The sequence below is a fragment of the Homo sapiens genome, chromosome 2 (genome assembly GCF_000001405.40).
Source record: "Homo sapiens chromosome 2, GRCh38.p14 Primary Assembly".
Lineage (NCBI taxonomy): Eukaryota > Metazoa > Chordata > Mammalia > Primates > Hominidae > Homo > Homo sapiens.
In genome coordinates, this window is record NC_000002.12 from 77,498,043 (window position 1) to 77,523,764 (window position 25,722).

At 33.0% G+C, this 25,722-nt stretch overlaps 1 protein-coding gene across 6 annotated transcripts in view, besides 1 other annotated feature; it reads right to left on the bottom strand.

The window, feature by feature from the left end:
- LRRTM4 (leucine rich repeat transmembrane neuronal 4) overlaps nt 1–24,334 on the bottom strand; it is a 774,692-nt gene extending 750,358 nt beyond the window's left edge. Inside the window, exons 1-3 of one of the 6 annotated variants that reach the window (NM_001282924.3) lie at nt 24,067–24,334; nt 23,626–23,706; nt 20,276–21,822 (exon numbers count right to left, since the gene is read on the bottom strand). In NM_001282924.3, the coding sequence (NP_001269853.1) occupies nt 20,276–21,822; nt 23,626–23,629 (1,551 nt within the window). In that variant the 5' untranslated portion in view covers nt 23,630–23,706; nt 24,067–24,334. Of the gene's footprint in view, nt 1–18,615; nt 21,823–23,625; nt 23,777–24,066 lie in introns of those variants that run through there. The other 5 variants (NM_001134745.3, NM_024993.6, NM_001330370.2 and 2 more) reach the window with 5 other exon arrangements.
- Nucleotides 24,648–25,313: an enhancer, noted in NCBI's record as "OCT4-NANOG-H3K27ac hESC enhancer chr2:77749816-77750481 (GRCh37/hg19 assembly coordinates)". NCBI's record gives its function as "activates a minimal SCP1, AML or CMV promoter by ChIP-STARR-seq in naive H9 embryonic stem cells {active_cell/tissue: H9 hESC(naive)}" and the evidence as "EXISTENCE:reporter gene assay evidence [ECO:0000049][PMID:30033119]".

A 25,722-nucleotide genomic window follows, 5' to 3' on the forward strand; every position in this document is an offset into this window, starting at 1 on the left:
GGCTAGTGTTTAAGCCCAGGTCTTTTCGACTTCAAAATGTTTCTGAAGAGAGAAGAAAAAAATATTATTTTCTTTTTAATTTCAGCCTCTCCATGTCAGTCTATGGCATTTGTTCAGATTTGTTCAGATTTCATTACCTGTGAGCCTTAAACTCAATTGGAAGAAATCTTTCATCAAGAGTTTAACCATATCTCTCCCATATAATAGAGGAAAATTCTACCATCCGTGAAAATTGCTTCCTCTAGTAGAGCATGTCATCTAAAAAACTGTCTTTTTAGCGATTGTAGAAAATTACAGAAGTGCCTCTGCCAGACTCCAAATTTTTTCCCTGAGGCTAGTTTCCTCCTGCACATTTTCATTTGGTGTGTTCAAAACCATTTATTTGCTTTTCAGTTTCTCCCTTGAATCTTTCTTTGCAGGGATCCCATCGTTAAACTGAGTTCAGACACTCTCTTATTAAGATCTCTTCCCTTCCCATACACATAATAGGCAAACAAGCACAGTAATAGTCCTAAGTTCACTGATGCCTAACTAAACATTAAATATTCTTGGGCCTGGTGGGTGCTATATGTGTTTCCCAAACCCAATTACTCAGAGACCCTGTGAGATAGTGTATTTTCTCTAGCATGTACTTACTTACTCCTAACATTGCCTCACCATATCCAAAATTCTTTAAGCCTATAGTACTACTATTGTGGCAACTAACTATTTTTCCCATCCTGTAACAGGACTATTATTGTTTTGTCTGCTAACCTGTCAGTCCTTCAGGCTCAACATGGGAAGTATATCATCCATGTCATCAACAAAATCCTAATGCCACTTTGTTAAATGCCTGCACACAGAAATTCTCTCAATTTAGAAGTTTGTGTCAGTTTACTTTAGAGATACCTACAGATCTCTACATAGATTACTCCTTGCTCGCTACATATGACATCCAACTCCTGAAGTTTCAGGAATGCAAGTGAACCTTCCTTGGCTGTAGAAATGTCTTTTTAGCCTCTCCAAGACCAGGTTTTATGCACTACATTAATAATCCTCAACCACGGGTGATTTTGCTTTTGCTTACCCAGAGGGTTAATTGGCAATATCTGGAGACACCATTGGTTGTCATGATTGGCATGCGGATACTGATATTGGTATCTATGAATAGAGGCAAGGCATGTTTACCACAATGCTCAGGACAGATCTCAGCCCCCACCAATTACCTGGTCCGAAATGTCAATAGTTTAAAACCTTTAATAGATGCTTTCCTAGTTCAGGAGTTTTGTTTATTTGTTTGTTTGGTTTTGTCCAGAAATGTGTCAATGGGAAGAAGAACTGCCTTAGCATTCTAAGTCCCTGAGGTCACATTGTCCTGGTCCCGGTTCTCTACACACTTACCTGACCCTGCCCAGCTACACCAGGTGTTAATCTTGTCTCTGAGATGCAAAGATATTAAGGCATGATAGGAATAAAGAATTCAAAATAAGCTTCATTAGCTGCCTAGTTCTGCAATGATTTTAGTTCCTCACTCTATCTTTGCTAAACTGAAATGAACAACATGTGAATCATAAAGACTGCTGTCAATTATTTAAAGCCCAGAGTCAGTCACTCTAACTAGATGAACAACAAAAAAGCTTACGACTAAGCCTATTTTATTTGTCCAGCATAGTGCTAAAATTTTGAATGCTTTCATAGACATTATGCAAGCTGTAAGTTTCCATAGTCCCTGCAAGTTAATAATCTTTATTTATATATGTTGCTTTGTGTACCATCTATGTTACTTACCTCTCCTTCCCTGGAAGGCATATGAGTTTGCCTAGGCTTGATTAAATGCAACCCATGGTCAAATTTAAACAGAGCACTTTCCTAAAAATTTGCCCTTAAAGTATATGGTTACTTTGACTTTCTTGTTCTTGTCATTCCAGAAATTATAAGATCTAGTGGAGCCCAACAGGAGATACCAAAGAAAAAAAAAGTGATACTTCTTTTTATAGCTTAGAGTAGCATGTCTAAGTCTGCTTCCCCAGTATAAAGACACTCTTAATTGAGTATAGCTGCCGGGCCACTTTACTGCAGTCTCTTCCTGCAGAAGAGTCTTCCTATCAGTTGTAAACACTCTTCCATCACTTTGAATGCTCCATGTTCTTGGACCAAATCACCCACAGTAAGGCTTTTCCTCCTCAGAATTATTGTGGAGGTGAGAGAGGAGAAAGTTGTTGAGCATTCTCACAGCTTCCTAATTAATCAACATCATTTCAGAAGTTTGATTTAAAAAAATGTGAATTTGAACAATGGATGGTGTTCAGGGAATAATGGGAAAAAATGTATTATTTATTAAGCTAAAAAATAGCACCATTGGAATTAATATTTGGCATATTGTTTCTGGTTGTAATAAGTGCATTAAACATACAACCATACAAACAAAAAAAAATCTGTATTACAGAAGATCAAAAATCAGAAAATATTTAAAAAGAAAACTTATCATATTCATATTAGAAACAAAAATCATAAAATAATCTGTAATATATTTAAAAATAAATTTTCTCCTGTTTGCATAACATTGTAGTATTCTCCTGCACACTTGACTTATAAATGAAAATCAACATAAGTAAGTAGAGCCTTATCATATCTCAAAATGAAAGATTTAGAATTTAAAAGATAATCATTCACTCCGTATTATTTTAAAAAATAACGCAATTCCAATTAAATGTATCAAAGACACTTTATTAGGGTACTGACATAATAATTCTAAAGTTCATCTCAATATCCTAAACATCTCACTTGTCTACCACTAGAGAATCATTTTAATAAATTAAGAACAAAGAGGTAGATCTTTATTTACTGTAATGAGAAAATGTCCAAGATATATTGAGTGAAACAAATAATTCCAGAAGCATACAAACAAAATTTAGACCAGTATAGCTAGTATAATATTTTTTGAGAAGAAAATATTCATTCATAAAAGTACAGAAAATATCCAGAAGAAAACAGAACAGAGAGTTAACAATGATTTATTTCTAGAATATGGTTCCGGAGAGGATAAAAGGCAATAGAAAACAAGATAGTGGGAAAGAACCACACTTACCAATGTAATTATATATAATTTTATATATGTATATATATCATTTTATAACTAAATGTAGAAACTGGATGGAAATAATACCCCAAATATATTTTTAAACAAGAATAATTAAACATAATTTAATCTTTTAGATTAACTAAGCAGTATGCCAAAAGCACCAGCAAAATAAAAATTTTAATAGAAACACAGGTGTTTTCATATATATTTGTATATATGAAAACATATATGAATACATAGTCCATACGCATAACATATAAATATAATGCATAAAATGTTAATGTATGTATCCATAAGTAACTACTTAATGATTTACAATTTAAATATAAAATTTTGAGGTTGTAATTAAATGACGTGAAATTGGGGAACTAGGTAAAATGTTTGACAATAAAAAGTTAGTTGAATTATTTCAAATAAAAAGCATGAGACTATTAGAAAAAAATAAAGTGAATAGTTATTTACTATTTTCTTGAGAGAATCTTTGTACCATACAATAAAGGAAGAAACAATAAAATAAAATATAGAATAATTTATATATAAATGAAATTAATTTTCTAATCATACAATCAAATCCTACCTAAAATAATTAAAAGCTGAACGGCAAGCTCTGAACGATTTGCAATGTTTATAGAAGCTAAAGGATTAATAAACTACTTAAAACCTATTATAAGTTAATAAAATTACGAACAAGCAAAGAAAATGAACATAAAATACAGAAATTAAAATATACAAATGTCAAACATAAGAAATTGCATGTGTCACTAGTAGTCACAGTGGTGGTGAATATTAATAGAACAATAAAATATCATTTGATCTCAATTAGAACAAATCATTGCAAAAAAATTTAAATGTTGAGGTGAGAAAATAAATTGAAATATCACTATAAATTGTTAATCATTAAGTGTATCAGAAATGACATAAGTGCAAACATTATTGTCCTAAATTTGCTTATCCTGAAAATGTCGAAAACACTACCAAAACAGAATTGGAACCCATATAAAATAAATTAATATTATTCACTAACTAAAAATATGTGTAGACGAATGCTTACTGATATATAAACATGTTCACAAGAGAGTAAGCAAAAATGGCAGATTATAAGCAATTCACTTACATTATTATTTTTGTGTAATAAAAATGCATACACAATTGTTTTAGAAAAAAGATAATAAAAGTTATATAAATTTTTTAAATTTTTGCTTTTATGTATTTTATCATTTTGAACATAAACATGTAATAAAATGGCATATTAATGAACAAAAGTATGAGAGAAAAAATTTATATTAAAAAACTGGGCCACACAAAACTGTATACCGTAAAGTTAATCTATAGCTTTGAACTTTAGTGATATAAATTTATCAATATTTTGAAATAAAAATTTATAAAGAAGATTTTCAAAGAAGATATGTAATTATCTTTAAAAGGCAGAAAATTTTTTAAAAAGTAAAATTTGGGAACGTAATTATTTATTCTTTCAGTAAGTATTTATTGAGCTTTTATTGTATACAAGACATGGAGTGAGGCACTGGAATTATAAAGTCCAACAAAAAAAGTCATGTTACCTTCTGCTGGGTAAATTAGATCAAGTAGGATTGGCAGACATTAATCAAGTCATTATGAAAAAGGAGGGATAATCTCAAATTGGGTACATCTCATGTAGAGTATTAGATGGGTGAGCAAGAGTAAAACAAGGTGGTTTGACTATACAAGGATTTCTGCAACGGCTTCCTGAGGAGCTGGTGAATGCGAATTCATTATATGGAGGTGAATAGTAATCTAGGGCCAGACTTACATCAACACATTGTCCAAGGAGAAAGAATGCAAATAAGAGGAAAACAAAATAAAGCCAGTGCCGAGAGTAGAGTCATCCATGAATGGAGATTGTAGAGCAAAGAGAGTGTAAAATGAAAATCTGTGAAGGCAGGGCCAGGTCATTCAGGGTTTTTTTTTTTTAGCTTATATTTTGGTTCTCATTCTATCAACAATAGGACTCCACTAAATTGCTTTAAATAAATAATGGAGGATGTAACATGATCCACTTTTGTTTTGGAAGCTGCACCTTGCCTGTAGCAGAGAAACAAATTCAATGGAACAAGAGTTGAATTAAGGAGACTAAATAGGACAAAAATTGTCACTAGTAAAGATGGAGAGACATGAATGAATTTGAGATTTATTTAGGAGGTAAAATCAGTAAGACTCCAAGATAGATTGCTTATGGAGTATGAGGGTGAGGATGGGTTTAAAGATAATTCTGGAGATTGTGACTTTCCAAGAGGGATAGCTTCATTCACAAAACAAGAAATACCAGGAATAAAAACGTGGAGAAAAGATCTTGGCTTACTTTTGGAAATGACTTTAAGATGTCTCAGATATCTGAATTCAGGTGTCAAATAAGAAGCTGGCATATATTTATACATGTGGGGAACTCAGAGCAGAGGTCAAGCAACAGAGAAATAACATGTTTATTTTTAGTGAATAAATGGTAGTGTATTCTGTGTGTGTAAATGAGATCAGAAAGAGAGGGTGAGAGGGAGAGACAGAGAGAGAATATGATGGAATAAGAGAATACCACAAGGATGTAGCCATAAGAAAAACGTAAAACTCAGGTAGAGGAATTTGAGCTTACAAAGATATGGAAAAGGTGAATGATTAAATGAAAAATGAATGAACCCATGTACAGAAGTCAAGGGAGGAAAACATTTAAAGAAAGAAAAAAGGCCGACTGTTAACAATTATTGAGATATCAAAGTAAAGCAAAGAATTTTTTAAAAAATTATAAAATGTGGTGATGATGAAGTCAGTGGCAAGCTTAGCAAGAGCTGTTTGGATGGCATAGTGGGCTCTAATGACACATGATAGTAGGTTGAAGAACTTAGCAATTGATGGAGAAAAGTAGACTGGGGTAGAATCTTTTGTAAAGATTTTCTATGAAAGGGAAGTATAATACAGAGCAGTAATAGAGGAGAATTTAAAGTTATAAGAAAATTCTCTCTGTCTCTCTTCCTTTCTTGAGTGGTAATACTCAAGTATGTTTAAAAGCCTATAAAAATGATATAGATTCAGGTCAGCAAACTAACACATGAGCTAAATCCAGACTGCCACCATTTTTTTTGTAAATAGATTTTACTGGGACACAGATGTACTCATCCTTTACATATTTTCCATAGCTTTTTGTACTATAGTGACAAAGTAGTTGTCACATCGACCATATGGCCCATAAAGTCTAAAATATTGACTGTCTTATTATTTGCAGAAATAGTTTGCTGCCCTCTGATCCAGATAAAAGAAATAATTTGACTACATAAAAAAGTGAAAGGTAACTGATGAGGTAAAATTACTTAATGTCAGAGAGTATTGGTGGAGGAATCATTCAGACATTGGCAGTATTATACCCTGGGAAGTAGAACATTGATGTAATTTCCTTTAATTTGAAGGTAATTCTCTACTAGTTCTTTGAAAAAAATCAATAAATCTGTAGATCTTTAGCCATTATAAACAAGAATCATTTAACAAAACAGAACGTTGAGGCATTTACAATCTTAAGGAAAAATTACATGTAATGATCTAACAATTTTATTCTGTTTATAAGAATACAGACTCAAGGAGCTGACATCCCTTATTTATAGTTTGTAGTGCAGTGGTCTATAGTAATTGAATGAACAAATATATGACTAGAGAAGATGTTTAAGTATTACATAAACAATTTGTTATACATGCTAAATTTTCAAAGAAATGTGGATTTTGTAGGAAACTATAGTTTAACATTCTGCTTCAAAGACATAAAAGAAAAATCTAAATAAAATTTATAATTTTTTCTCAGCATTGCATCCAAAAGGGGTTCTACAAAGGCAAATTTTCATGAATAGTTTATACATTTCAAGGGAAAACAATTTCTATATTATTTTAATGATTTTAGAGCTAGAAAAAGATAAATTATTAAATATAACTCAACTAATAAAGAACATAATATTAAGATCTCTTTTTATTTAAGAGATAATTATAAATTACGAATCAAAGTAAGCGCAATAGGAGCTGATCTGGAAAAGAATATAATGAAAGAACAACCATAATTTATTCCAGAAATACAAATAACATTTAATATTATGAAACAATATATATAAAATTCATAAAATCAAAAACCAAAGTATAGGAAAAAAGATATTCCTCACCAAAAAAAGAAAAAAAGCTAAAAATTCATTTGGTAAACTTAGTGTCTGTCCTATTGTTAATTTTTATAAATGAGACTATATGATAATTGTGATAAATAAGATTTTGCTAAAAAACAGTGTTTTCCTAGTTTAAAAATAGCACAGAGTCCAGTGTTACCACATGCTAGTATAGGTACACAACATATTTTTGTTGAATAAATCAACGAAGTGGACCAAAATACAGTAGTCAAATTAAAGTTAGAAACAAAAAAATTGCTCCAAATCACCATAGTCATTTAATGGTATTCTAGAAGATTTCCTCTTAATATGTAGAAGTATAATAAATAAGAAATGTAACTATTAAAAAAGAGAAGATAAACATTGTGTTTTGCAAAATTATTTTTGAACTAAAAATTTTTAAAAGTTATTCTACTAAAATGAATGCATATAATCAAAATATTGATGCCTATAAATATGGACATACATATACATGCATTATCATATCTGTATTAGAATTTTAAAATGAATCAAATGAACACATCTTTAAAGGGGACATAGAAAGGAATGATATAAATCGAGCTCTAAGACAATATTTTTTATAATATTTCCTTTTGAAAAATGCAGAGATTTCAATTATTTCCAAATTGATTCATAGATTCACATAATTCTAGTCAAAATACCAAATATGTGTGTTCAGGGAAGAGAGAGCGATACAAAAATCTCATTTCAAATAGAAATGACAAAGAAAAACCATGACATTTCTTTTTTAGTAGACATGGAATTTAGTGGTTGGAGCAAGAATACTTATTTATAAAACTTAAAATATATTGTAAACTATAATAGTGTTTGAAAATATGGTTCTTACATTGTAATAAAGAGTGAATCCTTGAGTGGAATATAGAAAGCACAAAAATGACCTGGATATATTAGAATTTTACGTTAGTATTAAGTAAAATATCCGGAGAGAATTATAATATTTTAGCAGGAAAAAAACAAGTTAGTTCTCTATTTCACATGGACACACTAAAGTATGTTTTAAATTAAGAAGTAAATGTAAAAATAAACCTATAGAGGAAATGATTAAGACATAGTAAATATTTAGTATACACAGGATGAGAAAGGCATTTTTAAAGTAAAAGCAATGTAAGAAAACATAATGAATAATGTTATTATTGTTGACTTCAAAGACTGTTTAGATTCCACATTTCAAAATAAGAAATCCAGTAACACAAAATGTGAAAAAAAGGTTCTACTGCACTAACGTCAAACATGTAAAAATTAAGTGCTAAAAAAATAACCTGTCAAATTGCTAAAAAAGAGATAATAAATAATGTTAGGGGTATATGTGGAAAAATGGGAACTCTTACACAATGCATGTGGTAAGATAAAAAACATAAAAAGTTATATATTTTTGAGAGAGCAATTTTGGCAATGTGTTAAGTAGATTACATTTTTTATTCTTTCTGGCCACTTATTCTCTTTTGTAGGAATCTATCAACATGATGAGGTAATTTAAGACATTTTTGTGACGGTGAAATGAACCATCGCAAATGTCCAACAAAAAAGGGAGGCATAAGTAAAAGATGACACATCTTAGGAATATACTTTCAAAAACTATGTTTTCAAAAGCATTCCTATTCATAATAAAATGTGAACTTCAAAGTAATGTTATGCAATCATATACATACAGTTTCTAATATGAAATTAATTTTCTCTAATAGCCACAGTCACATACCTGTGCATATGATAGAATTTATGTTCCAGAATTTTTAAAGTATTACCTCTGCATAGTGGGGCTTGTTGGTAATTATTTTGATTATTTTTATAAATAACTTTATGTTTTCAATATTTTCTTAAAAAGCATTCATTTACTTTATAACTAGAAAATAATGGAAATTAAAATGTATCATGTTAATCTACAAAATTATACTCGTTCATATCTCAGAATAACCTGTATCTTTGTAATTGTTTAGTATAAGTAGAGTAGAAACAGTCAAACATTGTAGGATAAAATCATATATTTGCTTATATAATTAATTATGTAATCTGTTTCAATAAATTTTTAGTAAAAAACTCAGTGAGAAAGAGAATGAATGCTATCTTCTTTCTGGCCCAAAGATTCCTTGTCAATCTTCATGTTTTGTTGGAGAATCATATACACATTCCAAAGGAAGATGTTATACCAAAGGTGAAGGGGCAACACATTGGAATGCTGATTTTAAATCATCTCTTATCCTCCAGTCATTTGGGAAAAGCCACACTGTGAGTGGTCAGATAACCAAAGAGATTATGATTTGCGAAAGTTAAAAATTTATATTTAAATTTTAAATTCCCTTACCTCTCAAGTTTCAAGATTGACATCTAAGTAACATTTCTCAGAAATTAAAAAAAGGAAAAAAGAAAAGAAATTCTAGTTAGAATACCACACGCCACGCCCCAAAGGTGAGAGGAAAAAGTGGTTGAGAATATTTGGTCTCTGTGGTTCAGAAGTTACAGAGGAAACAGCTACTATCAAATTGGAATCCCTAAGAGCAATGCACAAAATGGAATTCCAGAGTGGCATAGACCTGGTGTCAGAACTTAATCACCGAAGACAAGGTGAGCATGGTTACCATGACGACAGCAAAGTCAAAGCAGTGATCAGAATACCCTGACTCAAAAAAGATCTATGATGCTGACTAGTGGATCATGGTGTCCCTAGAAGAGAAGTACGTACAAATCCATTAAATTCATACTTGATCTGCATACGTGGAAGAGTTCTAGCTCAAGTGAACAGAAGTCTAATTTGAATCACCAAAATAGTCATGATCCCATAATCAATTCCCAGACTTGAGCCAGTTTACAGACCCAGAATCCACTGAATGAAAAGGCAGACAGGTCCCCTTGAGGAAGGACCCTGCTATACTATGAAAAATGTATACTGTTAAACTTTCCCCCAGCCTTCTCCAGCGAGATCTATAACTATTTTCTAAGGTGACTGTGTATTGGGGAATGTGAAGTAATCAGACTTTTGGGGATTACTCGACACAAACTCTGAAGTGACACGAATTCTTGGAGATCCAAAACATCCCTGTGATCCTCCAGTCAGAGTAAGGGCTCGTAGAGGACAAGTGATTAATGGAATTTTAGCTCAGATCCATCTCACAGTGAGAATCCAAGCCGTGTTATTTCCCTAGTTCCATAGTGCATAATCAGAATATATATACTCAACCACTGGCCAAATCCCCTCATTGGAATAATTATGCTGTACCAATCACAAAGAAAATCATTTGTTTTCTCAAGCAAATGTAACATTATTATTTTGTCTTTTTTGTCTTTATGGGGTTTGTTTTTTGTCAGTAGTGCCCTCTCTCATTTCATAGTACGCAATCATATCATGAGAAATATTCCATTGAAAAACTTAGAAAGAAATGTGTTTCAGTTTAAAATATATTACACTATGGGGACAATAATAAGAATGATGCAATACATATTTCTACAAATATAAGAGCTTATACTTAACCAATATAAATACTTATACACAAATTATTAAATTATATATTACATACATATATATGCAGTAGAGCAATATCAATTCTTCTTTAAATCACTTACTAATAACTTCTGAATTCAAAAGGAATATTTAATGTATTGTTGAAAACTCCCACTTGTGATGTGTGATGCATAAACACCTGGGGAATGAAAAAACTGTTTCTAAGGCCAGGCCACAGCAGCTCATGCCTGTAATCCCAGCACTTTGGGAGGCCAGGGCGGGCAGATCACCCGAAGTCAGGAGTTCAAGACCAGCCTGGCCAACATGGTGAAACCCTGTCTCTACTACAAATACAAAAATTAGCCAGGCATGGTAGCACACACCTGTAATCCCAGCTGCTCAGGAGGCTGAGGCAGGAGAATCGCTTGAACCCGGGAGGTGGAGGTTGCAGTGAGCTGAGATGGCACAATTGCACTCCAGCCTGGGCAACAGAGTGAGACTCTGTATCAAAAAAAAAAAAAAAGCCAAAAACAAACAAACAAACTGTTTCTGCTTATTAAAATGAACTGAAGTATGATATCTGATAAGATAGGGAATTTATAAGTTGTTTCTCTAACTCCTTTCTTCTTTAGACATAGTAACAACAAAATAATTATAAATGCTGCTTTCTTTGCAAGGTGAATAAAATGTTCGGTCAAGGGAGTATTTTACAAATCCTGGGGTATTATTAAATATTGCCAGCTCTGGTACCCAAACTAAATTACAGCTCAGACAAGGGACGGAAAGGTCATGTTTATTATTCACTTTACTAAAAATGTAACCACAACACGTGTTTCTACATCAGGGAGTATTATAACCATCATCATAACTAATAATAACAATGAAAATAATACAGCTACATTGTATTTTGCATTTTTCAGTAAACAGTAGGGCTTATGGTTAATAATCATTCATATTTACACTGTAGCTTTTTATGGAGGAGTTCAGAGTGGTTTCTGAATAGTACCTCATTAATCATTTCAACAAGTTACTTGGAAAGTTATTATCCTAGTCCAATAGATGAAAAAATTATATCACAGAAAGGTCAGATATATATTTACTTGTCCAATATTAGAGAAGTAAAGAGAGTCTGCTTCAAATCTAAGACCTCTTTTTCACCCCTTGATCTAACCACTGGACCAAGGCAGTATTTGTCCATGTTGTGGTTTGACCATCAACCTAAAGTACTTCAAGGCTGACCTCTCTGCTATTACTTTTACAGATCTATAGACAGAGAAGAAAATATCATTTTTTCATCTATGGTGACCATACTAAAAAAGACTCAAACCTAATTAATGTGTATTTACATTGTTTCTTTAAGTCTTATTAGAAACAATTGACAAGAGTGGTATCAATTTACAATTGTAAATATCAAAGCACTTAATAGTGAAATGAATGCATCATGATGAAATTTATGATGAAACAAACAATATTTTTAAGGTGTCATTTGAAAATAAATTTATTTAATATGAGTCAGTTAAAGGAAACAAGAAATCAACTTTTAATAAGTTAACACCTCAAATATTTAGATCTTCAAGAGCAAGTGAAAGAACGTATGTTTCAGTTAATGTGTCTTCAGGAAGGAGGGAAGAATTGAAATGCAAATATAGAATTTATACCCAAAGACTGTTTCTGTTTGTCTCAATAAAATCATCACAATTTCAAGGCTTTGCCTAATGACATTTTATTTTAAGAGAAGGCAACTAAACAACAATTGTTATACTTTAAAAGTGAAAATATACAGTGAATACGAATTAAGTAGCACTGTCCTTCCAAAATAAAAGAACATTTGCAGGCATTTTTTTCTATATTATTTGCTACTCCAAAATTAGTGTCTATGTAATTTTGCTTTAAGTTAAAAAATTTAGCCCAAATGGAATCAAATCATAACTCTATATATTCCTATTTTGAAGCATATATTGCTTATTTAGATCTTAAAAATATAGTGAATTCTCTTAAGCAACTCATCCATGTTTATCTTAGTTTGTCTGCTTTATTAAAAATTTACTCACCTTTTAGTTTTTAAATCAATGATATTTGAAGATCTGAACCATTAAAATGTAGGTAAAAGTAAAAATTATAAGTGTCATAAGTTTTGACATTATAGTTACTCTACGTCTGACCATTTTATTTTAAAACCTGCAGTCAAAATGTTTACTATACCTTATTTACTTCCACTAGAAGAATTTGTGTTTAAAAAGAAACAAAATGGAAAAAATGATTCTTCTTGCTAGATTTAATGATTATGTTTTTCCACTTTTCTCTGAGGTCTGAATTCAGTAAACAAAGAGATGGAAAACTAGGTAAAGAAGACAACATACCTTACAAGTTATGGTGTACAGACATCCCAAAATTTGGAAAACAATCATACCAAATTGAGGCAATGAGAGAGGAAATTAAAAAAATTACTTTTCTGTCATTAAATTCCTTTTCATGTATCTTCCACAAATATTTACTTTTGAGACAATTCATATAAACTGGATAAGTTAGTACAGAACTGTGTTTATTAAAAAGCAATTATCAGCCTGTATTCAAAAGCAATACCATCTGTATTCAGTATACATGTTAGTATTTTAGAAATATTTATAGAAGATACATGAGTGTTTAATCGTATATAGCTGTTTAAATGAAATATTTCAAAGTTACTGTGATATTTATATTTCGTATCATTTATATAACATTAAAATATTAGTATATTTTATTTCCATGTACAAACAATAATGCTAAATGCCATAACCTTATTGAGTTATATATTTGCTTATTTATTTTAAGCACATTTGCTAACTTATTTTAAGCAAGTTTGCTAACTTATTTTAAGCAAATTTGCTTATTTATTTTAAGCAAATACATAATAAGGTTATGGTATTTATTATTATTGTTTGTACATGGAAAGAAAATATACTAATATTTTAATGTTTGTGTTCAGGGTTTTCCTTTTAATTATGCTTCTTCATATTTCTTTCTGAATTTCTTACATTTTCACCATTTTTAAATATTTTATTAATATGTATCAGCTTTGCTGTCATTTCATTCCCCAAACTTATGTTTACAATATTATAATGTATAGATTTGACTTAAGGTCAAACTTTATGACCTTAAATCAAATGACTTTGCTGTCATTTCATTCCTCAAACCTATGTTTACAAACCTTACGTAAGTAAACTTAAGGTGTTAGCTTTCATATATTTTTATTTGTATGTTTAAGAGACAGCGTCTTAGTTTTGCCCAGGTTGGAGCACAGAGGCTATTCATAGGCTCAAACATAGCTCAGGACAACCTCGAACTTTTGGCCTTCAGCGATCTTCCTACGTTAGCCTCACAAGTAGCTGGGACTACAGGTGTACCATATTACCTGGCCTCCCTTGTAAAGGACTAATTTTCCATGGTTACGTTTGTTTAGATTTTAATTTCTCTTGGCAGTGATAGCATTATTTTTAAACTCTTTAGCAGGAGTTTAAATACATAGTCTTTGTACATATCTAGCAGCTTCTAGCAGACGTTTATTTAAAAAGCCAATTGTTTTGATACCTTAGGAAATACTGTGCTTTTTTTCTCAACCTTTCCTACCTTACAGTTACAATTTTAATGGCTTATGGAGTGCATGAGAAAAATAGCCCTGTAATTTCTTTTTCCTTTCATGAATATTGAGATTTTATTAAACTGACTCAATGAATGATGGTTCTTCTGGTACTATAAAAAGCAATTTTAATTTTTAAAATGTATTCAACATCACTTCATGCTTTTCACTGATCAAAAGACATACTGGTTTTTCAAAACTCTCAGTGTCTAGTGATATACAGGTTGCTTCTGCTTCACTTTGATTTAGTGAATCATGAAACTCTAGAGACATGAAAATTCAGATGAGTCACCAAGTCCCCAGTGAAAATATTACTGAGCAACTCCTAAAGCATAAAACTATCTCTAAATGCAATTCCTGAGAAGAACTAGGGATGATTACATTTTATAAACACAGAAAAGTCTCAAGAAGGAAATTCTGGTATCCTGTGGATATTATTGGGGTGTGTCAAAAGCTACACATTCCTAAGACCACAGACTTCTCAGCTGGGAGTCTTCAAGAGCAATCATTTATGAAAACCTTGTCCGTGAGATGCTAATACCAGCTAATTCTAGAAAAAGAAAAGGGCCATTTATTGTCAGTTTAAAATCTTTCCTAAATTAGCTATGTCGGTCTTTTTTTGGCAGCTGTCACTCTTCACCACTACCATTTGTGAATTCTAATGAAAACTCTATTCACAAATAGATTTTAATTGGACCTAATTCAGACAATCGATTTTTTAAAAAGCAGACATAGTTTTAAGTGCTTTCAAAATATCTAGTTACTTAGCAGAATTTCAAAGACATATACGTGTGTGGGAGTGTGCACTCATGTGCTCACACATGTGTATGCGTGAGTTACATATTTTCCCCTCAAGCATAAAGAAATTGTATGGCTGCTCACCTGGGCACCCCAGTTTTTAGTAACTGAAGAAGTTCTTTCTTTTCTCATTGACAAATGAATGTAAGTAGCTCAGTCTTTTTCTCCACAGCTCATCCTGCTTTTTCAGTTCTGAGAATGACCATAGAGACTTTACAAACTTTATACTAATCCGAGAATTGCTTTGTGTTGGGAAACACTGTGCTAGCTGAGTCACTCGTTTGAGAGATGCGTCACAGAGAAACGAAGTGACAAGTCTAAAGCAACACAAAAAATGGCAATATGTAGTACAAATACAGACTTGACTATGTTAAATTTTGTTTTTTGAAAAAGAATTTTAGACTACATAGATGTAAGATACTTATAATTTATATTTTATTTGTTTATTTTGAGATGAGTCTTGTTCTGTTGCCCAGGCAGGACTGCAGTAGTGCAATCTTGCACTGCAACCTCTGCCTCCTGGGTTCAAGCGATTCTCTTGCCTCAACCTCCCTAGTAACTGAGATTATAGCTGTGCGCCACCATGACCTGCTAATTTTTGTATTTTCAGTAGAGACAGGTTTTCACCATGTTGGTCAGACTGGTCTAAAACTCTTGACCTCAAGTAATCCACCCACTTTGGCCTCCCAAATTACTGGGATTACAGGCATGAGCCACTGCACCTGACGATACTTATAATTTTTCAGATATGATAATACATTTACCTTAAGGGCCATATTCCTAACTAAAAAATCTTGGTGATTTTAACAAATATTTGTTACTAATAATTTAAATTGTCGTAAAAAAATTTAATTAATTTTGATGGACATTAATTCTGATGGAAATATGTTTCTATTTTGTCTTTATATGCACACACACAAACACACACACACATATATATATACAGACATACATACATGGATAAACTCACATACAAACACACACACATCCTATTTAAATATACAAATACAGTTTCAATCATAACATTGTACCATGACACAGTTGTAGTCAGCCACCTAAATAAAGTTTGTTTTCTATAGCTGTATGTCGATAAACTGTTAATTAAACTCAAGGTAACTGGGTCTGCTTTCCTTAGAGTCCTCTTTATATATACATTATGCTTAGTAGTCCTTGGAAATTCACTTAGCACACTGAAGAATATCAATATCTAAAGTGTGAAAAGAAGTTAAGTGGTCTACTTTATACCAGTTGTTTGAACCTGACCTAACATAGTCCATAAATAAAAGTTGTTAGAAATGGTTTATACCACCCACTGCATAACAGTCAAAGAAATTATATAACCTGAACTGAAAACCAGTATATTTTTAAAATTTTGCTCAATTTTGAAGAAAGTAATGAAAATATTAAATATTTGGAAAATATACACCTATATTGTCACCTTTACTGCCATTTTCCTAATAGCAGCACTGTTAGCACTATAGGATCATTAAACTTTATATTTCAATTACTTAACTATTGAAACACTTTGGATGGAGAGTCTCTTTAGAGACTACATTCATTCATTTTAAATTTTCACCAATTTAACTTTTTTTAATGTACAAAACAAACTACAAATATTCTTTCTTGTCCTTTGTTCACATTGGCTAATATATAAAGGCCGCTGCTACTTTCAGTTGATAAAACAAATCCTAGAAGAACTAGATATTCAAAACTTTGTTCTTTACAATTTCGAAGGAAAAAATTGATATACAGAATGAAGCAACTTTATATCCCTGGTCATATTTTTTAATGAGATAACATTATGCCAAGCTTCACAAGCTATTTTTCAAAGTAAATATTTGCATTTCCTGTCTATATAGTAACACCTTACTGTTTTAGGAAAAGCTGTATCCTTTTGGCTTTAAATTCTCTTTTCTGAGTACATACTGAGGATGTATGTACTAAGTGAATGATTCAGTTCAACCAAGCACACTGATCCACTCAAAGTATGATTAGGATGTATGTATCCCTTATACTTGTGCTATAATTCATATTAATTACTCATAACTATCTACTCTATTTCTCTTTTATAGATATGAACAATTTTTACTGCCCAAATTATTAAAATATTATCCCTCATTTTATCAGAATGGTATGTGCACACAGACTTTTCAGAATTAAAACTTGCAAAACATAGAGAAAATTATTTAATTTGAAAATTGCATGCTATATTTGTGTGGAGGCTCACAAACGCCAATCTAATAATCTCAATTTAAAAAATCCTTTTAAAAGAAACAAGCAAAATGGATATTGTAACCATATTTAGGTCATGGTAACTGAATATAAAGTTAGGTGGAAAGTAGAGTTTTTAATTTAATGCAATTTTTATTTCTTCAAGGCACTATCTTAGAAAATTAGCATTTGGTGCTAAGTTTTCCAATTAAATATTTATGGCTTTATTGGGTAGAGTTTGGTGTTTTTAATTTTTTTTTAAAAAAACCTACCTCACAAAAATGTCTTATAAATATATTAATGGTTCTCTGCTAAACTAGTGATATATGAGACTTATGAAAACAATGCCAAGCTAAAACTCAGCATACTTATACTATTCCAAAAACATTGTAAAGTTGGGCAAATCGCTGCCCTCTCTTGGCTCTATTTTGTAGAGAGATTTTGTCCAAAGGAATATTTCTCAACAGGAGAAATTTTACTCCGAGTGACAAAGAAGTAAGAAGTAATTAGGGTTTTCCCTATAACAATTTCTAAGAGTTTGCTTTTCCTCACCATTTATATCTACCTATAACTGTAATACAGCAAACATTCTGTCAAAAAATGGGGTGACCCCTGCAATGTTTGTTTTTGTATGCTTTCGTTTTAAAACAAGTTGAAATTCATTTAAATATAGTTTTATAGCACCCCCCTCCTCATCCTAAATGGACATATGATCTTAAATGTATAGCCTACTAATGTCCATGTTTGAGGGCACAGAAAGTTTGAGCTACTTTAGTAAGGATTCCATTTTGACTCAACAGAATTATTACAATATTTAATTACATTCTTCATTACTTAATGCCTTAACAACACATTCATTTTCAACAATACTAGTGCAATTTCATGACATTAAATGTCAATCTATATAACACATACAATATCAAAATGTGTTTATTTAAACACACGTTTTAATTAAATGAACCATCTTTTAAACTTGTTTCTGTCATGGTAATGCCTAGGGTTTTTGATGGAATAATCTGTGAAATTTAAGATCTCTGGAAAAGTCTTAGAACCCCAGTTCTCAAATCCTGGTTCTTTAAGAATGTTTCTTTCTTCTTGGTGATTCTTAAACATAAAAGTTAGCATTCTACTCCAAAAGTCAAGAGAAAATGAATTAATGCGTCTAGAATTTTCTTTTCTTTTTATATACCAGCCTTTAAGAGGATCACAAAATATAAGGAGAACCCAGAATAAAATAGGATGAACTTGTGTTACTAATACTCAAGTATATTGTATAATTGTGGGCCTGCAATAAAAACATCAAGCCTTGTTAGACTTTTATAGAAAATCTTTTATTCTTTTTAATTTTTAAGGGCAATTGCTTATACAGTTTCCTTTTAGGAATTTATTATCTGGGATTACTTCTCTTATTTTCAATGATACACAAAAAAGAAGAAAATGAATTCTTTGAAGAACAGTTCAATAGTCCAAATTGTACTGAGTTAGAGATTATTTCAAATTCAGTGCTTTGTCTGAAAACATTTTCATTAGCATTTGTAGTTAGGACTATGGAAAAATTGGAGTATATGCTATCAAAGAGCAATTATATTTTCCAACTGTTAACTAGCATTAGAAAGGGCAACATCTTTAATTACTCATTAAAACTGTCTTTTGAAAGAGTGATCATCTAAAATCAGATACTAAAACATTATATTGCCAGAATTTAACCTCTCTTCACTAGTTTCTTCCAGCAACAAGGCCTTAGTAGTCAGTCTTTGCACATAATGATCAACATTACCAAGAAAAGAACAATTTACATCCAGCATTACTTATTGACAAGTTTGAAATTTGTGACTATTTGTCTGCTCACTAACATGATCCTGTAAGTGATCTTTTAAATTAAATAATCAGAAACCGGGTCCAAATTTATTCTTATAAAAACAAAAATAATATAACATGGAAGGTACACCTTTATTTGAGGCTGTTACAGAAAGGGAGGATACCCAGAACTCAAACCTCTCTCCTTTTATTTATAAATATTTGTATCACTTATTTTTTAATAAGTTTAACAAGAATACATATCATTTCTTTTGGGGATGACAGCAATACTGACAAACAGTCCCTGTTATGACTGCCATTTTATTATTGCTAAATCATCCACAAAATTGTGACCTGATTTTAGTTACCAGGGACAAAGCCAAAGCATGGAATTGAAGTTTCATTCTGATTAAACACAAATAGCCAGTGCATAAAAACCTTTGAAATCGGATCTATATCCCAGTAATTAAAAAACAAACAAACAAACAAAAAAAGAAGGAAGAGAAAGGAAGGAAAGGAAGGAGTGAAAGAAAGTAGGAAAGAAGGAAACAAAAAAAAAAAAAGAAAGAAGCCTTAGGAGCCTGATACAATTACACAGTAGGCCTCTGACATTCTCTATGCTGGTATAATAACTAAATGGCAAGTAACATGGGTGTGAGATCCCTGTTGCATGCTTTCATTAAAACTAAAAATTTACAACAAAATCAACCCTTGGGAAAATTGCTCTTTGGTTTAAATCTTCATTACCTTCTGGAATTTTGGTAAACTCACTTTATTTTTAAATTAAGCTGGCCCTCTTCTTTACTCCATTACAACAGTCAAACACCAAGAACCAGACAGAAATTTCAGAATGAAAAGAGTTTTGTTTGTATGTGTGTTTTTAAGTCCAACCCCTGTATACAAATTGTTAAAAAGCAGATGTTTTAACATAGTGCTTTATTCCAACTTATCCTTGAATGAACTTCCTTCAAGTTTCAACCATTTAAAAAAAAAAAAAAAGCAGTCAATTTCCTGGTGGTTGTAATTTAATTAAGTAACCTTTCACACTGAGCAAAACCCAAAAGCAAAAGGGTCATTAATCTTTCTAGTGATTAGAGACACCTCTAGGGCTTCAAACATTTACCTCTCCTTCCCCGCAGTAGAAATGCTTTTAGGAGGATCATGGTTCATACCTCACATTCCCTGGAGCCAGAGATGGTATATGTGCAGGGCCCAGATCCATTAACCGATATATCCATGGTCTCAGAGTTTGTAGGCTTGTAGTCCACATAATACTCCTGTAAAGGGGAATTCATTTGTCTTTCAGACTCTCTGGCCTTTTTCCGCCGCCTCTTCATAAGAGAGTGTTGCTGGAGTTGTTTCATGCTGGCTGGGTAGCGTTTCCAAGACACATAGATCACCAAGAGGATCATGGCCACTGAGAGAAAGAGAGCCACACTCCCGGCAATAATTTTGTGAAATGAAACATGCTCATACTCTTGCTCTGCGCCAGGAATCTGAAACCCTGGGGAAGGGCTTGGTGTTTCAAAGGTGGATTGGGTGACGTCAGGTTTGAAGATGGTAGGTCTAGGGATAATCAGAGGTTTCTGGGGAGTTTGGGGCACCAGGTGTGATCTTTCTGTGTTGACCACCTGGACTTCAGAACAGATATTATATGTTTCCACTGCATCACTAACCTTTTCACCCTGGATGTGCTTAGGTCCCGCACATATCATGGTGCTTTCCTTATTTCCTTTGAAATTCTTAAGCCAATAAAATAAAGGACAAATGCTCCGACTGCATTCCCACATATTTCCAGACAATGTGATGGATATTAATGATATCCACGCATTGACAGTTTCCTGTGAGATATTGGTGAGCTTGTTGGAATCCAAATTCAATTTTTGTAAATTGGGGAGGCATTTAAATGTGCCCGGCTCAATTCCTTGGATGTCATTCCCTGATAAATCCAAGTTGTGTAAGGAACTCCAAGTCCATGTCAAACCTTGGCTAATGGAGCGAATCCTGTTCCATTGTAAGTAAATTGAGCGGAGGTTGAAGAGACGTGGAAAATGAGCAAAGTTGATCTTGGAAAACTGGTTGTGCTCCAGGTGGAGCTCCTTTAACTTCAAGAGGCCAGCAAATGCATTTCGGGACAAGCTTCGAAGACGATTGTAACCCAAATCCAAAAAATCAAGATTCCGACAGTCTTGAAAAACTCTTATGGGCACAGTCTTTAGTGAGTTAGATCTCAAGTGCAAAATGATGAGTTTCCGAAGGCCTTTAAATTGTTCAGATTGCAATGTCTGAAGCTTATTGTAGGAGAGGTCCAGATTGCGGAGATTGGGAACTGGGTGAAATGTTTTATTGTGCAGATAAGTAATTTTGTTGGAGCTTAGAATTAATTCTTTCAGTCTACGGATCCCTTGAAATGCATCTTCATCCACTGAGCTAATGTAATTATGGTCAAGATAAAGCCATATAAGCTGGTTAAGGCCGGCAAACTGATTGGATTTGAGCTTCTGAATGCTGTTGAACCTTAATGATAAGCCTTGTGACCCTCCAGAAATGTTCTCAGGGATATCTGCGAAAGCATGAGACTCACAGTACACAATTTTGCCATCACATCTGCAGTTCTTTGGGCAAGCTCTCTGAGCACCCGTGAGCATAACAAGCAGCAGTGTAGGAAGTAGCACCAGCACCACACTCATGCCTTTCAGCTGCGTAATTAAATGGAAACCTACGATATTAAAAAAAAGACAGATGCACATTGTGAAGCTATTAAAATAAATCACCGTCGGTTTACCAACAACAGGGGCATTTCCTCTAGTGTAGGAATGGGACAGTTGATTTAAGGAAAATGCATTAACATTTCGAGCATTATTTTCTTCAGTGTTGCATGTTTGCTGCTTAGGTTTCACTTTTTCTTCCTTGATCTTCAAATCACCACAGTCCCATAGAATTAAGAAAAGCCTTTTTGAGTTTCAGGAGTTCCTACTTATTTCAACATTGAAAAGCACAGAGCCTTTCTCACCACTGAATGCTGACATTTTAGTAACAATAATATTTGGCTAACCACTGTATTGAACAACAGTACCAAAAGGAAGTGTACTATGTGCTCTGGTAAGGGCAAAAATGTGACTTAGTAAACCTGGTACCTGTACGTGTTTCCCAGTTGAGCAAACAGGCTGTGATTTGGCAAAAGAGCTTCAGTAAGCTGTCAAGGTAACCCAAGTTTGCCCTGCCTGAAATTGTGTACTTATTGCATAATAGGATCGCAATATGTGAGCTCTGAAAAAACAGCATTGAGACTAGTATAGGCAGCCAATGAAGCATTGGATGAAGACTAATAACGGTACGAGGTGCTCTCAAGTTGTTAATAAGCATAGATTATTGCATACTGTGGCTCCCTGCCCAACGATACAGGAGCTAAGACATCTAAATACTCATAACAGAGAACACTCCAAAGTTAAGACTATCAAAATTCGTATTATTTGCCTAAAAAGCAAAATAATATTGTGTAGTATCACTTTGCCATTATTTTAGAGTTGTTTTTGCAAATTCGAAGGATAAACAAGGAAAGAAGCAGCCAACTACTATTTTTCTCTACATCACCCTGATCTCTTCACATTTCTCACTGACTTTTTTCTCCCCTATCTCCATTAACTTCAGAAAGCCTGCAAAGTTACAATCTATTGGCACTTACACTGCATTTCCAAGTCATTGCATGTTAAGGGACTTCTTTCCTCCGTCAACAGTAGATTTATTATTTCTTAATGGAGAGAAAAAAAAAGAAACAACTACCATGTGTTGCAGTTTCTTTTTTTTTCTTAAATTTTTAAATTTTTAACCAAGAGGCAATCAACCAAATCCCTAATCTAAAACCCATCCTTCTTCTCAAACAGTTAAGTTTTTCTTTTTTTTCTTTTTAATTTAAAACCCGATCTTGCTCTCTGTCCTCTTGCCAGCTACAGACTCATTGAAATACATTCCAGCTCTCCCAGACAGGAGAAAGGGGGGGAAAAAAGCCAGTCACACTCGAAAAAATAAGACTGGCAAATGACTGCTGGAAATTCGGAAGCTGTGTTCAGGATCCAGCTTCAAAGATAAAACAAGCCCTTGTGCAACCTCTGATAAAGTAAGGACCCCACCCCTACATACACGCAGCAAAGTGTTAATAGTCATCCTGACAGCTACCAGAAACACAAGCCTCGTTAATATTATCAAGAAATAGAAGCAAACACAGTATTTATCTCCTTCTGAATTCCCAAGCTGTGGATACGCAGACAGTAGAAACAGTCTTAAAGATATTTCTCTAGAGTCTGTTTAAGTTCGTGTTGTGCATTTATAGATTAAAAAAAAAACACTGCAAAAAGGAAAATGATCTAAAAATATAATAGCAACTATAGTGAATCAACTGGCAAACTCAAAGGCTGCTGCTCTTTGCCTGTTTCCCCGTCTTTTATCTGCTAATGCCACGACTGAGGATAGGAAGCCAAGAGGATCAGCTTTGCTCAGAAGGAAACAACAAAAGTTCACTTACCCATCCTTTGTCATCCAAAAACGTTTCCCCCCTCTCTCAGCTTTCTTCTTATTTGGTCTCTTGTGCGGAAACCACCACCACCTTCATGACACAGTGCGGCTGTCATTCACACCATTCTGATCCCGCATGTGAGCTAGTAGCCCCATACAAACTTCCCCGAGAGGACAGGCAAAAAAAAAAAAAAAAAATACATATATATATATACATATATATATATATATAAAAAATCAGCACAGGGTGGGATGGTTGTGGGGGCAGGGAAAAGGAAGCCGTTGGGGGGATAGGGATGGGGGAGGGCCTCTAGGCTCTGAGGACCATTGTGTAATTCACCAGAGACCCATCAGCAGTAATTGGCAATCTGTGCAAAAGAGCTACAGCCCATCTCGGAGGTAACCAACTTCTCTGTAAAAAGAGAGGAAAAAAAGAAAATCTTCAGAATACCTGGCATTCCTTATTGTGCTGGCTTTTGCCATTCCCAGATAAAGCAATTCATCCTCTGGATTTTCAGTTCTTGAAGCAAGTAGGCCTCCTGTGCTGTATGAGACCCCAGTTTAAAAGCTATGCAGGCTAGGTTTATCCATTTAGCTGGTCAGGTTTAAAGTGTTTTGTAGCTGTGCTGGGAGGCAGCCCTTGTCTAATTCAGAAGGCTTTCCAGAGACTGATGATGCTCAGAGCTTGTTGGTGCTAATGCTTGAGTTTGTGATACACTGAGTGCCCTCCGCTGGAGAAAACAGATTGCACATTAAAGACGGGAACAAGTGAGCCTGTCAGTGGTGTGCAGCCTTCCCTTGCTCAGAAAGGGAAATTAAAGGCACAGAATCACTATTTTTTTCTCTCCAATAATTTAAAAGGTTTATGCCAAGGAGTTCCTTTCAGTTATAGCAAATATTAAGTAAAATACTGCTTCTCTAAATGTTATGCAATTAATAGTTTTTCAAAGTTGCCATGACCTGAAATTTGTTTTTTCTGCACGTCACTGGAGATTTATCATCTTTTGCAAATGACAGAAATTGTTGAAATTTAAGTTTTATTCACTGTTGCTGTTGGTTTGTTTTATTTATTTATATTGTTTTAAACTAACCGCTTATGGAAGAAATCTTATTCAAGGGAAAAATGCAATTTTAATCAATTTTAAACAGGTTACATTTAACATGTTTAAGTCTGATTTTCAAATTCTCAACCTTTGACATAAAATGCATTTTACAATTTTGTGCATTTTATTGAACAGTCTAGAACACTACTTTCTAAAAGTTTACATTTTTAGTCTTAAAGCAGTTATAATCTATAGTATATTACCAAATGTGAAGGTAACTAAGAGATAAGAGTAGAATTCTAGCTTGACATTCTTAGTGCAGCCATTATCCTTAAATCATCTACATTTAGAATGCAAATCATTTCTTATGCAAATCACTTATTGTAATGTGCAATTCCAGAAAAACAAAAGCACTTGAGTTCTGCATTATCATGGTATTACTCTAAAATGTGCAGAATATCCTCAGAATTAGAAGGGATGACATGATAAAACACCTGATATATATATAATTTAAAAGGACCTACACACTTTCTTTAAGCTTGGACAGACGTTGAAAAACATAGTGCATCACCTCCATTTTTTCCTCATTTTTACTAGTTTATTCCATAATCCTCTGGCAGATAACAATTTTTAGAATAATCCAGGAGAATGAATCAATGTAATGCAGGGAGAGACTGCTAGGTAAGACTGCTAACCTAATTTAGCAGACGTGAGAAATTTAAATGAATTTCACATAAGCATTTAGAATTGCTGTGGATCATCGCAAATAGATATTTTTAGAAAGAGCCTTGGTTTTAGATTGTTTGCCAAAATATTAATAATTAAGGGGGCTTATCATATAAATAACACATATAATTTGACTCAGATGTATGAGTAGGCAGTTGCAGGCAATTGTCTCATTACTAAGATTTCTTGAGGAACAGAAAGGAATAATATGTCCCCCAAATATATTCCTTTTCCACTAACTGATACTTGAATTTCTATCTTAGAAATGTGTGCCTTTGGCTTAAGGCTTAATACCTATTAAAATGCAAATGCACGCCAAAAGAGGCAGGATTATTGTG